The 15,051-nt window shown below is 40.7% G+C and overlaps 1 protein-coding gene across 6 annotated transcripts in view, besides 3 other annotated features; it reads left to right on the top strand.

Moving 5' to 3' along the window:
- The window catches only part of MECOM (MDS1 and EVI1 complex locus), a 580,206-nt gene that overhangs the window by 87,017 nt on the left and 478,138 nt on the right, over positions 1-15,051 (top strand). The gene's annotated exons all lie outside the window — the stretch shown is intronic.
- Positions 12,100-13,299: an enhancer, noted in NCBI's record as "CDK7 strongly-dependent group 2 enhancer chr3:169281185-169282384 (GRCh37/hg19 assembly coordinates)". NCBI's record gives its function as "activates an origin of replication core promoter dependent on BRD2, BRD4, P300/CBP, MED14 and CDK7 cofactors, with strong dependence on CDK7, by STARR-seq in HCT116 cells {active_cell/tissue: HCT116}" and the evidence as "EXISTENCE:reporter gene assay evidence [ECO:0000049][PMID:35650434]".
- Positions 12,767-12,826: an enhancer, noted in NCBI's record as "active region_20781". NCBI's record gives its function as "activates an Ori minimal core promoter by ATAC-STARR-seq in GM12878 lymphoblastoid cells {active_cell/tissue: GM12878}" and the evidence as "EXISTENCE:reporter gene assay evidence [ECO:0000049][PMID:35858748]".
- Positions 12,887-12,936: an enhancer, noted in NCBI's record as "active region_20780". NCBI's record gives its function as "activates an Ori minimal core promoter by ATAC-STARR-seq in GM12878 lymphoblastoid cells {active_cell/tissue: GM12878}" and the evidence as "EXISTENCE:reporter gene assay evidence [ECO:0000049][PMID:35858748]".

The following is a 15,051-nucleotide window of genomic DNA, read 5'->3' as shown; positions in this document are numbered from 1 at the left end:
ATACAGAGAAATACATTTTAAATGACTACCATAGTGCTTGGTACAGAGTATATGCTATTATGATTGAGAATGAGGTAGAGTGCTGAAGTTTAACTAGATAAATTAAGTAATTAGTGGCTTACCATTAGAGAATTCATTGTTGCAGAATGTTGGGAAGGTTGAGGAAGGCCATGTTTAATTGTAAGGTATGCATAACCTTCCTTACGCTGGCTGAATAAAAATTCCAATACCTTTTTTGATGTGCCACACTGTTCCAAGGCTTCTCTGGGACTTGGGGTGCATTTCATCTTGAACTATGAATTGCAGAGATTTTTATCGTCTTCTGTCACATACACAGCATCCTTTTATTGTGGTTTTTGATGCGTTAAATATGTTTTTATGGCCCCCTATGTCTATTGTGCCTAGCATACTGTTGGTACTTAATAAACGTTAAATAATAATAATATATGTGCATATGAGATGTGTGGAAAGGAATGACATACTGTTTTAAGGATCTGAGATTGTTCTTCTGGTGCCTGGGGAAAACATACAGATGAGCATGTTACTGGGAATAGATTAGAAGGAACCATCAATAGCAATGTCATCTCCCTAAAATATGATGTGGCTCTGTCAGCACAAATCATAAACTCCATCTCCTACCCTGCATCACTGTAGAAATCTAATGTGGAAAGTTGAATTCCTAGATTAATAGAAATGGGTATACAGGCACCTTAGAATTTTGCGAATTAACAAATGATGCTGTCTTTCTTGTGTATCAGTGAATTTGTACGGTTTACAGGGAAATGCTAGGCTGAGCTTTGGGTTTTTTGTTTTGTTTTTTTTTTAACTCTTAAGGGAACCTGTCCAGAGAGGTTTTGAGGGTGTTCTGCTTTATTTCCTTGGATGAAGAGGAGGGGCTCCAGATACTGTCTTTTCAGGGACTGTTTCCCCCCTTAACTGATATCTTTGTCAGTAAGGAGACACCTGCATCCGTGCAGTTCCACCAGTTGAACGACACACCACTTCACTAGTTCTCTTCCTTTCCCAGCTGGATGCAGCCCAGAATATCAGTTCTCTGCCTTGTGCCAAAAGCCTTCTAAGTCCAGTGTGGAGGTGTTTGTGTAAGATAAAAGCAGGACAAGGCGGCATCCCCGGACGGCTCATCTGTTTACATGTGTCATTTGGCTCAGCCCTGATTAGCTCATTAGCAAAGAAGGCAGGAAAACGAGCAACCCAGATTTGGTGATTCATCAGGTCTGTTCCTCTCTGGGGAGACAGTGCTGGCATTCTCTGCCAGTCTTCGGAGTGCCTGGTCTTTTTCAGTCCCCCAGGGTAGAGTTTGTTAAATGTATTTCTACCCCCGCAGGGCACACCTTCCCCTGCTGGAAAGACAGATGGCTTAGATTGAGAAAGGGAGTCACTGCTTTTAGTTGCTCCTTTTAAAAATCATTTTCTTTTCTGCATGCAGAAAACTTATTTTGATGGAGCCAATATTTAAGGCGAAGCTTTCTTATGGGCTGTGAAACTGAGGGTCTTTAATGCTTTTTATGTTTGAAGGTTCTATTCGAGAGGTTTTTGTGAGGACATAAATTACGGGTAGCAACAGGTATATTTTTCCCTTAGTACAAAGGCCAAGTGTAAGTTTTTTACTAGTTAAGAAGGGTCTGTTCTTTTCTTTTTGACCTTGATTTTTTAGCGATATTCTGCTTTGCCCCTGCTTCGGTTGTATTATTCCCTGACCCATCCAATTACCATTTCTATCAGCGCTTCGGAAAGATTATGCTTTTTGGGTGTTCTGTAGATGTCTTTCCAGTGGCTTCACTTGATGAATGTGACAAGTTTTGTGTTTTCTCCCTCCCCTCATTGAATTGAAAAGTTTTTTTTTTTTTTATAAATACAGGCCAATAAGTGCCCAAAGGCAGTGTTTCAATGGCTGCTAAGTCTTTCAAGGTTAGGACTTAACCTCCGTTCTCCCTAATTCAACTCCAACCTTCAGTCTGAAGCCAATCAAGAATATCAGATGATACTTAAACAATGAAGGATTTCTGATATTCAGGTACTGCCTCTGTTCAATAGGATTGCAAATTCTTTGTGTGAAGAAAGTCGGTTTTGCTCTAAAGTACCGTCACAAAAAGTGAAATTACCATTTGCTTGGAATGATGCCATTCATCATTGTCAGAATACTAAGCATTGTAAGTAGCTAGGCCTCTCCAAATTAATGCCTTGTTTTGCATCGGCTAAATTTCCCAAATCCTTGAGGATGGGTCATACAAAACTCATCTCACCATTTTAATTTATCAATCCAATATGAGTTCTGTGAAAGGGAGCTTCCTTCACTCTTAGCTCTTTTATTTACAGTCTAATTCTAAAAGAAAAGGAAATAAGATATGAAAATAAGTTGGAAAATAAGATAAATCTCTCGGTGAAATCACCAGATCTCAGTCCTGTAGCAAAACCTCCATAATTCATCTGTAGGTCAGCTCAAGGGATTAGCCATGACGTATTTGGAAATTCATTTATTTTTATTTTATTTTGCTGTTTCTTATGCATAAGGGTAATGCTGTCCCCAAGGCTTTTCAGGTAGCCCTCAAATCTTGACAACATTTGCTGTCTCTGAGGCCTAAGCCAAAATTAATTTTCAAATAAACAGCATAAAAATGTATGGAGTTGTATAAATTTGAATACAAAATGCATTTGTTTTGTTTGCTTACATACATACATACATACTGTCTGTTCAGCCAAAAACCATAATATCACATTGAAATTAATGGCCATATGCACATCATGAAAGTCAAAAAAGTTTTTCTTGAGTTAAAAAAATGCAGAACATGCAGCATTTTATTTCATTTCCAACTCAACGTGGTCTTTAACATATCTTCATAGGATGTGTTTTAATTGTTTATTTTTCCTAGAAGGAAATTTAAAAATCTTCCATAGGAAAAACTGGTACCTAGGAAATTGTATGGTTTTTATTAGTTCAAAAGATTCTGTTGCCTTGGGAGATATGAAGATATTTTCTTCTTGAAAGTTAAAAAAAAGGTAAACCAAATTATGCCGCTTGATTTCCTTCCTCTGATAAAAGATAGATAAAAGCAATGTAGAATTAAAATGGGATGAAATCCGCTAAGGTCTATATTGGGACTTCTTTTTGGTGGCTACAAGGAAAAGAAAAAAGGATTCTGTAGTTATACAAAGATAGTCCAGGAGGCAGGCAGTCTGGCTGACGGTATGCTGCTTCGGCTGCCGTCAGATACCTGCATCTATTCCTCACATGATGACCAGCCCACGGGAGCCTACAATATCATGAATGCCATAATTTCTCCCTTTCCAAGATTCCAGCCCTCAAAATGGTTTTTAAATATACTTCCACAAGGGGGCTTTGTGTACATTTACAAAATTTTTTGTTTGTATGCTTAGATGTTTCTTAAATATATTAAAAAATGAACTTCTTCCGAACAAGGCATGGAAGTTTCATTCGTTCGCCTTTTGAAATCTTTATTATGCAGAAAACAAAACCGGCTCCCTCCTCCTGTGTAGCCTCTGATGTGGAAGAGGTCTGTGAAAGCAGAGGGTGAGGGGGAGAAGCCTGGGAGCAGGAGCTGGTGTCCAGCCTGGCTAGGCTGCCCCTGGGGCGTGGATCTTTCAGCTGTATTTCAGCTTGTGGGGTGAAAGCTTCAACATGGCCCAGTTTTGATTGCCCAGCTGAAAATGGCTGTGTATGTGATAGCATTTTTTTTTTCTTATACTTTAAGTTCTGGGATACATGTGCAGAACGTGCAGGTTTGTTACAAAGGTATACACGTGCCATGGTGGTTTGCTGCACCCATCAACCTGTCATCTACATTAGGTATTTCTCCCAATGCTATCCCTCCCCTAGTCCCCCAACCCCCAACAGGCCCCGGTGTGTGATGTTGCCCTCCCTGTGTCCATGTGTTCTCATTGTTCAACTCCCACTTATGAGTGAGAATATATGCGATATTTGGTTTTCTGTTCCTGTGTTATTTTGCTGAGAATGATGATTTCCAGCTTCATCCATGTCCCTGCATCCTTTTTAATGGCTGCATAGTATTCCCTGGTGTACATGTGCCACATTTTCTTTAACCAGTCTATCATTGATGGGCATTTGGGTTGGTTCCAAGTCTTTGCTATTATGAATAGTGCTGCAATAAACATATGTGTGCATGTGTCTTTATAGCAGAATAATGTATAATCCTTTGGGTATATACCCAGCAATGGGATTGCTGGGTCAAATGGTATTTCTGGTTCTAGATCCTTGAGGAATCGCCACACTGTGTTTCACAATGGTTGAACTAATTTACAGTCCCACCAACAGTGTAAAAGTGTTCCTATTTCTCCACATCCTCTCCAGCATCTGTTGTTTCCTGACTTTTTAATGATTGCCATTCTAACTGGTATGAGATGGTATCTCATTGTGGTTTTGGTTTGCATTTCTCTAATGACCAGTGATGATAAGCTTTTTTTCATATGTTTGTTGGCTGCATAAATGTCTTCTTTTGAGAAATGTCTGTTCATATCATTCATCCACTTTTTGATGGGGTTGTTTGATAGTTTCTTGTAAATTTGTTTGGGTTCCTTATAGATTCTGGATATTAGCCCTTTGTCAGATGGATAGATTGCAAAAATGTTCTCACATTCTGTAGGTTGCCTGTTCACTCTGATGAAAGTTTCTTTTGCTGTGCAGAAACTCTTTAGTTTAATTAGATCCTATTTATCAATTTTGGCTTTTGTTGCCATTACTTTTGATGTTTTAGTCATGAAGTCTTTGACCATGCCTATGTCCTGAATGGTATTGCCTAGGTTTTCTTCTAGAGTTTTGTATGGTTTTAGGTCTCACGTTTAAGTTTTTAATCCATCTTTAGTTAATTTTGTATAAGGTGTAAGAAAGGGGTCCAGTTTCAGTTTTCTGCACGGCTAGCCAGTTTTCCCAACACCATTTATTAAATAGGGAATCCTTTCCTTATTGCTTGTTTTTATCAGGTTTGTCAAAGATCAGATGGTTGTAGATGTGTGGTATTATTTCTGAGGCCTCTGTTCTGTTCCATTGGTCTATATATCTGTTTTGGTACCAGTACCATGCTGTTTTGGTTACTGTAGCCTTGTAGTATAGTTTGAAGTCAGGTAGCGTGATGCCTCCAGCTTTGTTCTTTTTGCTTAGGATTGTCTTGGCTGTACGGGCTCTATTTCTGTTCCACATGAAATTTAAAGTAGTTTTTTCTTATTCTGTGAAGAAAGTCAATGGTAGCTTGATGGGGATAGCATTGAATCTATAAATTACTTTGGGCAGTATGGCCATTTTCATGATAGTAATTCTTCCTATTCATGAGCATGGAATGTTTTTCCATTTGTTTGTGTCATCTCTTATTTCCTTGAGCAATGGTTTTTAGTTCTCCTTGAAGAGGTCCTTCACATCCCTTGTAAATTGTATTCCTAGGTATTTTATTCTCTTTGTAGCAGTTGTGAATGGGAGTTCACTCATGATTTAGCTTTCTGTTTGTCTATTATTGGTATATAGGAATGTTTGTGATTTTTGCACATTGATTTTGTATCCTGAGACTTTGCTGAAGTTGCCTATCAGCTTAAGGAGATTTTGGGCTGAGATGAAGGGGTTTTCTAAATATACAATTCTGTCATCTGCAAACAGAGACCATTTGACTTCCTTTTTTTTCCTATTTGAATACCCTTGATTTCTTTCTCTTGCCTGATTGCCCTGGCCAGAACTTCCAATACTATGTTGAATAGGAGTGGTGAGAGAGGGCATCCTTGTCTTGTGCTGGTTTTCAAAGGGAATGTTTCCAGCTTTTGCCCACTCAGTATGATGTAGACTGTGGGTTTGTCATAAGTAGCTCTTATTATTTTTAGATACGTTCCATCAATACCTAGTTTATTGAGAGTTTTTATCATGAGGGGTGTTGAATTTTATCAAAGGCCTTTTATGCATCTGTTGAGATAATCATGTGGTTTTTGTCATTGGTTATGTTTATGTGATGGATTATGTTTATAGATTTGCATATGTTGAATCAGACTTGCATCCCAGGGAAGAAGCCGACTTGATCGTGGTGGATAAGCTTTTTAATGTACTGCTGGATTCAGTTTGCCAGTATTTTACTGAGGATTTTCACATTGATGTTCATCAGGGATATTGGCCTGAAATTTTCTTTTTTTAATGTGTCTTTTTCAGGTTTTGGTATTAGGATGATGCTGGCCTCGTAAAATGAGTTAGGGAGGAGTCCCTCTTTTTCCATTGTTTGGAATAGTTTCAGAAGGAATGGTATGAGCTCCTCTTTGTACCTCTGGTAGAATTCAGCTGTGAATCCGTCTGGTCCTGGGCTTTTTTTGATTGGTAGGCTATTAATTACTGCCTCAATTTCAGAACTTGTTATTGGCCTATTCAGGGATTTGACTTCTCCCTGGTTTAGTCTTTGGAGGGTGTACGTGTCCAGGAATTCATCCATTTCTTCTAGATTTTCTAATTTATTTGCATAGAGGTGTTTATATTATTCTCTGATGGGAGTTTGTATTTCTGTGGGATCAGTGATGATAATATCCCCTTTATAATTTTTTATTGTGTCTATTTGATTCTTCTCTCTTTTCTGCTTTATTAGTCTGGCTAGCGATCTATCTATTTTGTTAATCTTTTCAAAAAACCAACTCCTGGATTCATTGATTTTTTGAAGGGTTCTTCAAGTCTCTATCCTTCAATTCTATTCTGATCTTAGTTATTTCTTCTGTTAGTTTTTGAATTTGTTTGCTCTTGCTTCTCTAGTTCTTTTAATTGTGATTTAGGTTTTTGATTTTAGATCTTTCCTGCTTTCTCCTGTGGGCATTTAGCGCTATAAATTTCTCTCTAAACACTGCTTTAGCTGTGTCCCAGAGATTCTGGTATGTTGTGTCTTTGTTCTCAAAGTTCTTTGAAATAAGTTTCAAAGAACTTATTTATTTCTGCCTTAATTGTGTTATTTACCCAGTTGTCCTTCAGGAGCAGGTTGTTCAGTTTCTATGCATTGTCAGGTTTGAGCGAGTTTCTTAATCCTGAGTTCTAATTTGATTGCACTGTGGTCTGAGAGACTGTTTGTTATGATTTCCATTCTTTTGCATTTGCTGATGAGTGTTTCACTTCCAATTACATGGTCAATTTTAGAATAAGTGTGATATGGTGCTGAGAAGAATGTACATTCCGTTGATTTGGTGTAGAGAGTTCTGTAGATGTCTATTAGGTCTGCTTGGTCCAGAGCTGATTTCAAGTCCTGAATATCCTTGTTAATTTTCTGTCTTGTAGATCTGTCTAATATTGACAGTGGGGTGTTAAAGTCTCCCACTATTATTATCTGGGAGTCTAAGTCTCTTTGTAGGTCTCTAAGAGCTTGGTTTATGAATCTGGGTGCTCTTGTATTGGGTGCATATATTAGCTCTTCTTGTTGCATTGATCTCTTTACCATTATGTAATGCCCTTCTTTGTCTTCTTTGATCTTTGTTGGTTTAAAGTCTGTTTCATCAGAGACAAGGATTGCCACCCTTGCTTTTTTTTTTTCTTTCCATTTGCTTGGTAAATATTCCTCCATCCCTTTATTTTGAGCCTATGTGTATCTTTGAACATGAGATGGGTCTCCTGAACACAGCACACCGATGGGTCTTGACTCTTTACCCAATTTGCCAGTCTGTGTCTTTTAATTGGGGCATTTAGCCTGTTTATATTTAAGGTTAATATTTATATGTGTGAATTTGATCCTGTCATTATGATGCTAGCTGGTTATTTTGCCCGTTAGTTGATGCAGTTTCTTCATAGTGTCAATGGTCTTTACAATTTGGTATGTTTTTCAGTGGCTGGTACCAGTTTTACCTTTCCATGTTTAGTGCTTTCTTCAGGCGCTCTTGTAAGGCAAGAACCCGGTGGTGACAAAATCTGTCAGCATTTGCTTGTCTGTAAAGGATTTTATTTCTCCTTTGCTTATGAAGCTTAGTTGAACTATAAACCCCTGACTGGGGCTGCTGCTTTTATTTCAGAGATGTTCTGCCCAGAGATGAGGAATCTAGAGAGGCAGTCTGGCTACAGTGGCTTTGCTGAGCTGCGGTGGGCAGTGCCTAGTTGGAAGTTCCTGGTGGCTTTGTTTACACTGTGAGGGGAATACTTCCTACTCCAGCCTCAGTAATGGTGGATGCCCCTCCCCCCACCAAGCTCAAATGTCCCAGGTGGACTTCAGACTGCTGTGCTGGCAGTGAGAATTTCAAGCCAGTGGATCTTAGTTTGCTGGGCTTTCTGGGGGTGGGATCTGCTGAGCCAGACCACTTGGCTCCCTGGCTTCAGCCCCTTTTCCAGGGGAGTGAACAGTTCTGTCTCGGAGGTTCCAGGTGCCACTGGGGTATGAAAAAAAACTCCTGCAGCTAGCTCAGTGTCTGCCCAAATGGCTGCCCAGTTTTGTGCTTGAAACTCAGAGCCCTGGTGGCCTAGGCACCTGAGGGAATCTCCTGGTCTGCGGGTTGTGAAGACAGTTGGAAAAGCATAGTATCTGGGCCAGAGTACACTGTCCCTCATGGCAGGGTCCCTCATGGCTTCTGTCGGCTAGAGAAGGGAGTTCCCCGACCCCTTGCATTTCCTGGGTGAGGTGACGCCCCATCCTGCTTCTGCTCACCCTCCGTGGGCTGCACCCACTGTCCAACGAGTCCCAATGAGATGAGCTGGGTACCACAGTTGGAAATGTAGAAATCACCTGCCTTCTGCATTGATCTCGCTGGGAGCTGCAGACTGGAGTTGTTCCTATTCAGCCATTTTGCCCCTCTCCTTTTTTGTTTTTTGAATTTAACTCAGGTTCTAATTGTCTCTTTTGATTTTGTCCCAGTGGTCCTTATATTTTTTTCCATGTAATTATACCACCTCTGAGTACAGATATTTTCATAGTTGTACATAGTTTAACTGTCTAAGAAATAAGAAGTGTTATGGAAATTAACAACTTTAGAAAACAAGACCAACTGGTGACATCTCTGCAATGTTTCCTCAGGGTGTCAGGAAAGAGCCCTGGGCTGGAAGTCTACAGACTGGAGTTTGAGCCACTGCGTCATCATCATCTGGCTTGATTTTACTGGCAAAGCATTTTCATACTTCTGTGCCTCAATTTCTTTATTAATAATGACTTTCAGGAGCCTTACTGTATCTGACATTCTATAAGGATTGGGTTGCTTTACTCCCTGTTTTCTCCTATTCAGGGCAATATTACCAAATATAAATATATTAGTGGCTAAAGTAATAAAATCAGAGGAGGTTGCATTTGTGGTACCTCATGCATGACCTTTGAATTAAAAGAGTCTTCAGTCGGAATCCAAGTCCTGCCACATGCTAGCTACGAGAGTGGGGGTGATGGGAAATGAACAGATAGTTCTCTAAATTTTGGTTTACTTACTGTCAAACAAGGGTTTGGACTAGAAGTTATTCTAAGGTTCTTATCCTAAGGTATGTTTCTAGGATTTTAAAAGTATTTGGAAACTGGCAGAGCTTTGATGCCACTTTTTGTTAGTGTTTGTGGGCCACATCTCTGAAGAGTGGCCTAGGCCCAGACATGGCTGGATTTCTCCTCTCCTGATTGTCCACTTCTGATTCACATTGTGTAATTCATCCCAATGGCCAAAGGGACCTGAAAATTGAGGCAACGACATAAACCATCGTCAACACACTAGAAGATGAGAAGCCCATCTGACCTGTGTTGAGTATGAGGAAGTTGAGCCCAGAGAAGTTTGGCTGATTCTGGTCCAGGCCACAATGAGAAGGAAAGTCAGTTTGTAATGTAATTCAGAATTTAAGTTCATTTTCCTCACCATGTTGGATGACATTTTAAGAAAGTTGGGATATAGAAGTTGTTCCCAAGGTGGAATGCCTGGCCAGGTTTTCACGAATTCATTCCTGCATAGGTGGGCAGACGAGGGAAAGCAGGAGGGGAAGTAGAAGTTCAAGTAACTTTCTATTGGGATCTGGGAAGAAGTTGCACTATTGTGTGGCTTGGGCTCATCTGCTGGGTTGCCAGGGTGATCTGTGGGCTGGCTGCAGGGAGCATGGGATCCAGGTTAGCAGCTGGCTCTTTCACTGGCTGAGGCTTGGACAGGTTATTAAGTTCCCATTCCATATTCTCATCTGCAAAGTTGGGGAAATAATAACCCCCATCAATGGGGCTTAGAATAGGTAAAGCCCCATTGCATGGTACCTGGCAATCAGCAAATTGTGGTTGTAGCTTTTGATATTATTACCGATTATTGTAATTTTAAAACCAGCCTGATCTGCAGAGCAGAGAGGGCACTTGAAAGAGTGCTTCCTTAAGCTCTCAGCAGGAGTGGGGTGTCATTTTCAAGACCCTGTGGTTGAGGCTGTTTGGTGCTCAGGCTCTGCCACAAGGTGCATGCCCAGGTACCTCTTTCCACAGTCTTCATGTATTAGTCTCTTAAAACTCTTCCCCAGGTGATATGGTTTGGCTCTGTGTCCCCACTTAAATCTCAACTCAAATTGTAATCCCTACTTGTCGAGGGAGGAGCCTGGTGGGAGGTGGTTGGCTCATGGGGGTGGTTTCCTCCATGCTGTTCTTGTGATAGTGAGTGAGTTCTCACAAGATCTGATGGTTTACAAGTATTTGGCAGTTCCTCTCATTGCTCTTTCTCTCTCCTGCCTCCATGTGAAGAAGGTCCTTGTTTCCCCTTCGCCTTCCACCACAATTGTAAGTTTCCTGAGGCCTCCCCAGCCACACAGAACTGTGAGTTGATTAAACCTTTTTTCTTTATAAATTACCCAGTCTCACATAGTTCTTTAAAGGAGTGTGAAAACTAACTGATCCACCAGGTTACCAGTGGTGTGCATGCTAGGGGCTGCCAAACCTCCCTGACTCCCTCATATGCCCCTGTTGGAGAACACAAACTACTAACAGATATTTCTAATAACTACTTGAGGTGTACACTCTAGGCAGATTCAAACTCTCTCACTAAAACCCATCTATGAAAGCAACACAAGCCTGACCACCCAGATTTTTCTGGAGCTCCATTCCCAGAGATTTCCTGCAAAGTCCTGGGACTTTGAAACAACATTGTCAGTGGGAAGCTGGGAAGTCTCAGGGCCTGGGTAATCCCAAATAGCTAAAGGATGGAAGCCATGGCTGGGCAGTATTTTTATGGTTACCAGCTCCCTTGAAAAGTGAGGTGAAGGATAAGCAGCCTTAGGTCCAGCCAAGGCTGGCAGCAACCTTGAGAGAGCAAACCCAGACAGATGTCCAGAGCTGGACAGAGATAATGGTGAGAAGACAGTGAGTGAGGAGGGGGCAGTGGATCCGAGGAAAGCCCGGGTGAAGTTACTTGGTTCACCCTAGACTGCGTGGACTACCCCTCCTTGTTATCCCTCACATTGCATTTGGGCTTTCTGACACCATTCTCCAGGATGCTCCAAAGTAGATAGGCCTTACAGTCATATTCAATTCAACAAACATTTATCAAATGCCTCCCCTGCCCCTGGTGCTTGCTAGGCACAGGGTTCGGAATTGGAAGGTAGTTCTCCCCTCGTGGAGTTCAGACCCTGGACACCCCTCCCCACTGTGTAACCTTGGGCAGCACACTCAGCCACACTGAGCTTTCCTTTCTTCTTTTGTCCACTGGGGGCAATTGTGTGTACCTCAGGGGTGGCTGTAAGGATTGTATGAGATGAAACACTTAAAATGAGAGGCGCATAAAAGATGCTCAATACATGGTGCCTTTGCTGCACCTGTTCTCCTGTACCATCCTTCTTCAAAGTTCTCTTTAATATGAATTTCTAGCAGAGTTCACCTGGCTAAACAGAAGGATCTTCATGTATAAATTTCTCCTGGGATTGGGGAAGGCTCTGTGAGTATGTGTGTCCAGGTTTAGTTTGCAGCATTTGTTTGGACACCTGAAGCGCTATGGTTTTTAAGTGAGATGAAATCATGTAGTGAAGAGAGTTCTTTAAATTGAACCTCATTACATGAAACCTTTTAGTGTTCAGAGGAAAAAAATGGAGATTTTGGTAATTAAATTTGATATTTCAAACAGGAAACTTGTTTCATTGGACTTGCATGGGCAATACCATTTTTTATATAAGTAGCTCTTGCTAAAGTATTTTTTGGGGGGGCACTTGAATTATAGTAAACTCTATTTGACTAACCTAAGACCTGCTGTGGAAACCTGGATTTAAATATATGATAAAATTTGGAAATATTTTATCACATCTATAGCTTATTTGATTTGGAAATATATTTATTTCATATATAGATTATTTGTATTTTACATCCCAATAAGCATATGTGCATTGTTTTTCTTTAACAGGGCTTTTACTACTTTTTTCCTATATTCTGATTCTTTATTATGTTAATTTGAAGCAGGCATAGACTAGGAGAATTAAGCTTAAGACTTTTCTTTTTATAATGTTTAACTCTCAGATGGTGAGTCTTGGCTGGTTCATATATGTGACATTTAGTCTTTTGAATACAAGTAGATGTCTTGTATGTTTGAGTCGTCTTAGTGATTGAAATAAGTTTTTTCTTTTTAAAAAAATATTAATTACCCCATGGTCAAGATTATTGCAATTTACTCTACACCTTTTCTTCAATTTTTTTCTAATGCTGTTAGTTATTCCCTTTATTGAAAAGATCTGTCTTTCTTATAAAATAATCATCTTTGATAAGACACACTTTGGTAACCACTATATATTATGGTAGCCATTTTTAAGCAAACAATTGATTTTAGATGGGGCTCTTGGTCAGTGTACTGTTTTTCTGGGCCATTCCAAATAGAGGGAGGAGACTGAGAGAGGAAGAACCATTCTGAAGGCCCGGAAGAGCACCTACACTTGACATTTCTGAGAATGACTGTGATAACTGTGAGTAATTCTGGTGAATCTTATGACAGGAGGACAGTTTTGAGAACTGACTCAGCTTCATTTTCTTTCATTTTGTTCTAAAAACACCTGAAGCTCTTTGTAGAGGAATGTGTGAATCGCTATGCCTGATGTCCGCGTAGTGTCCTGTCCAGCACCCTTCACACCGGAACTATTATAATCAAGTTCCTCGAATGAAGCATGACTTGCAAGTTGAATTCCAAAAAGCTTCCGGGATATTCAGGAAGGAGGAGGGTCAATCTTTCAGTAGATTTGCTCCACTTTCCAAATTTACCTCCAGATGCAGACTAGATGGCCAAAAGGTCAAACAACACACATTTCAGGCTGGTTGGGCTTGACTGTTTTGGGATATTTGTTCACAAAAGATGTTTTCAAGGGAATAGTAGATCAAAACATGGGATATGTCAATATCAAAGTTTTCTATTATGTGGATTTAAGTTTCAATGAATAAACCTGCTGCTTTAGTTTTTGGAGATGGCGCAGGCCAGTTACAGTTGTACATGGTGGTAGTGTTGGCCTGAGAAGGTGGAGTTGGTTTTATGAACCTGCTCACCCCCATGCCTGTTCTCCAGGGCAGAGCAGTCTGCTGGTGATGTCTCTTTGCATGCCAATTACCATAGGATTCTGACTTGTCTGCCAGGGTGCACCCTCTGCTGGAACAAAAGAATAATCATTGCCTCCAAGAACAGACTTAGAATGTGACCCCTTTCAAAGCAATCATCTCTTCTTCCTTATCAGCATTTTTTTTTTTTTTTTTTTTGAGATGGAGCTTTTTTCTTGTCACCCAGGCTGGAGTGCAATGGCATGGTCTTGGCTCAGTGCAACCTCCACCTCCTGGGTTCAAGCAATTCTCCTGCCTCAGCCTCCCAAGTAGCTGGGATTATAGGTGCCTGCCACCACGCCTGGCTAATTTTTTTGTATTTTTAGTAGAGATGGGGTTTCACTATGTTGGCCAGGCTGGTCTTGAACTCTTGACCTCAGGTGATCTACCCGCCTTGGCCTCCCAAAGTGCTGGGATTACAGGCATGAGCCACTGCACCCAGCCCCCTACCAGCATTTCTATGTGATAAGCAGCCCCCCAGACTGTTGAAGATGGCTTTTCACAGACATGAAATTCACTAGTCCTTCCAAGCATGGCTCCTTTCTGGAGAGTTTGGGGTTTTGGGAAGCCTTGAGAGTCTCCAGGGTTTTGTGGGTTGGATAACTCAATATCTTCCAGGAGGCGGAAAGGTTAAGACACCAAATTCATGTTGCTACACAATTAAACATCAATACACGTAGCTGAAGCACTTTAAACTGCGGCGTCGGAGTTTTTTGAGGGTGAGCCCCTCCACCATAATACGCTGCAATCTTTTTTGGGTTGTCTCCCTGCCCCACTTCCCCAGCCAAATATGAAGGCAGAAACAACATTTCTAACATGCCACACCTCACAGCAAGTAGAAGCAGGACCGGAGAGACTGCAAACGACTTTACTTACCTAGATCATCCTCTATGAATCTATCTCAGTTCTAACCACTGTTTATTTCATTGAGAGCACTCTGTTTATTTTGTTTAGAGATAAGATTCTGGACCCTTGCAAGAGAATTTTATTGTTTCCAATAAAGAATGTTTTAGGTGCTCATTGTTTCTTTTTCTATCTTTTTTTTTTCTTTCTTTCTTTCCTTTTTTTTTTTTTTTTTTTTTTTGAGTATTGCTCTGTCACCCAGGCTGGAGTGCAGTGGAGCAATCTCGGCTCACTGCAACCTCCACCTCCCAGGTTCAAGCGATTCTCCTGCCTCAGCCTCCCAAGTAGCTGGGACTATAGGCACACACCACCATGCCGGGCTAATTTTTGTATTTTTAGTAGAGATGGGATTTCACCATGTTGGCCAGACTGGTCTTGAACTCCTGGTCTCAAGTGATCTGCCCTCTTAGGCCTCCCAAAGTGCTAGGATTACAGGTGTGAGCACACATGCCCAGCCTAGGTGCTCATTGTTTCTTTACAATGTTTTATGTTAAATATTAAGAAAAAAAGACTAAATAATGGACACCTATGTATCTGCAAATACGCATTCAGTTGTCTTTAATAATCCTTTGCTAATCTTGCTTCAGATGGATTAAGTGTGCGTGCCTGTGTGTGGTGTGTGTTTTACATTACAGATTAGAACTTAGGTCCTCTGGATTCACAACCCCGAATCCCA

Source organism: Homo sapiens, chromosome 3 (assembly GCF_000001405.40).
Source record: "Homo sapiens chromosome 3, GRCh38.p14 Primary Assembly".
NCBI lineage: Eukaryota > Metazoa > Chordata > Mammalia > Primates > Hominidae > Homo > Homo sapiens.
This window is presented reverse-complemented; position numbering and strand designations above follow the sequence as displayed.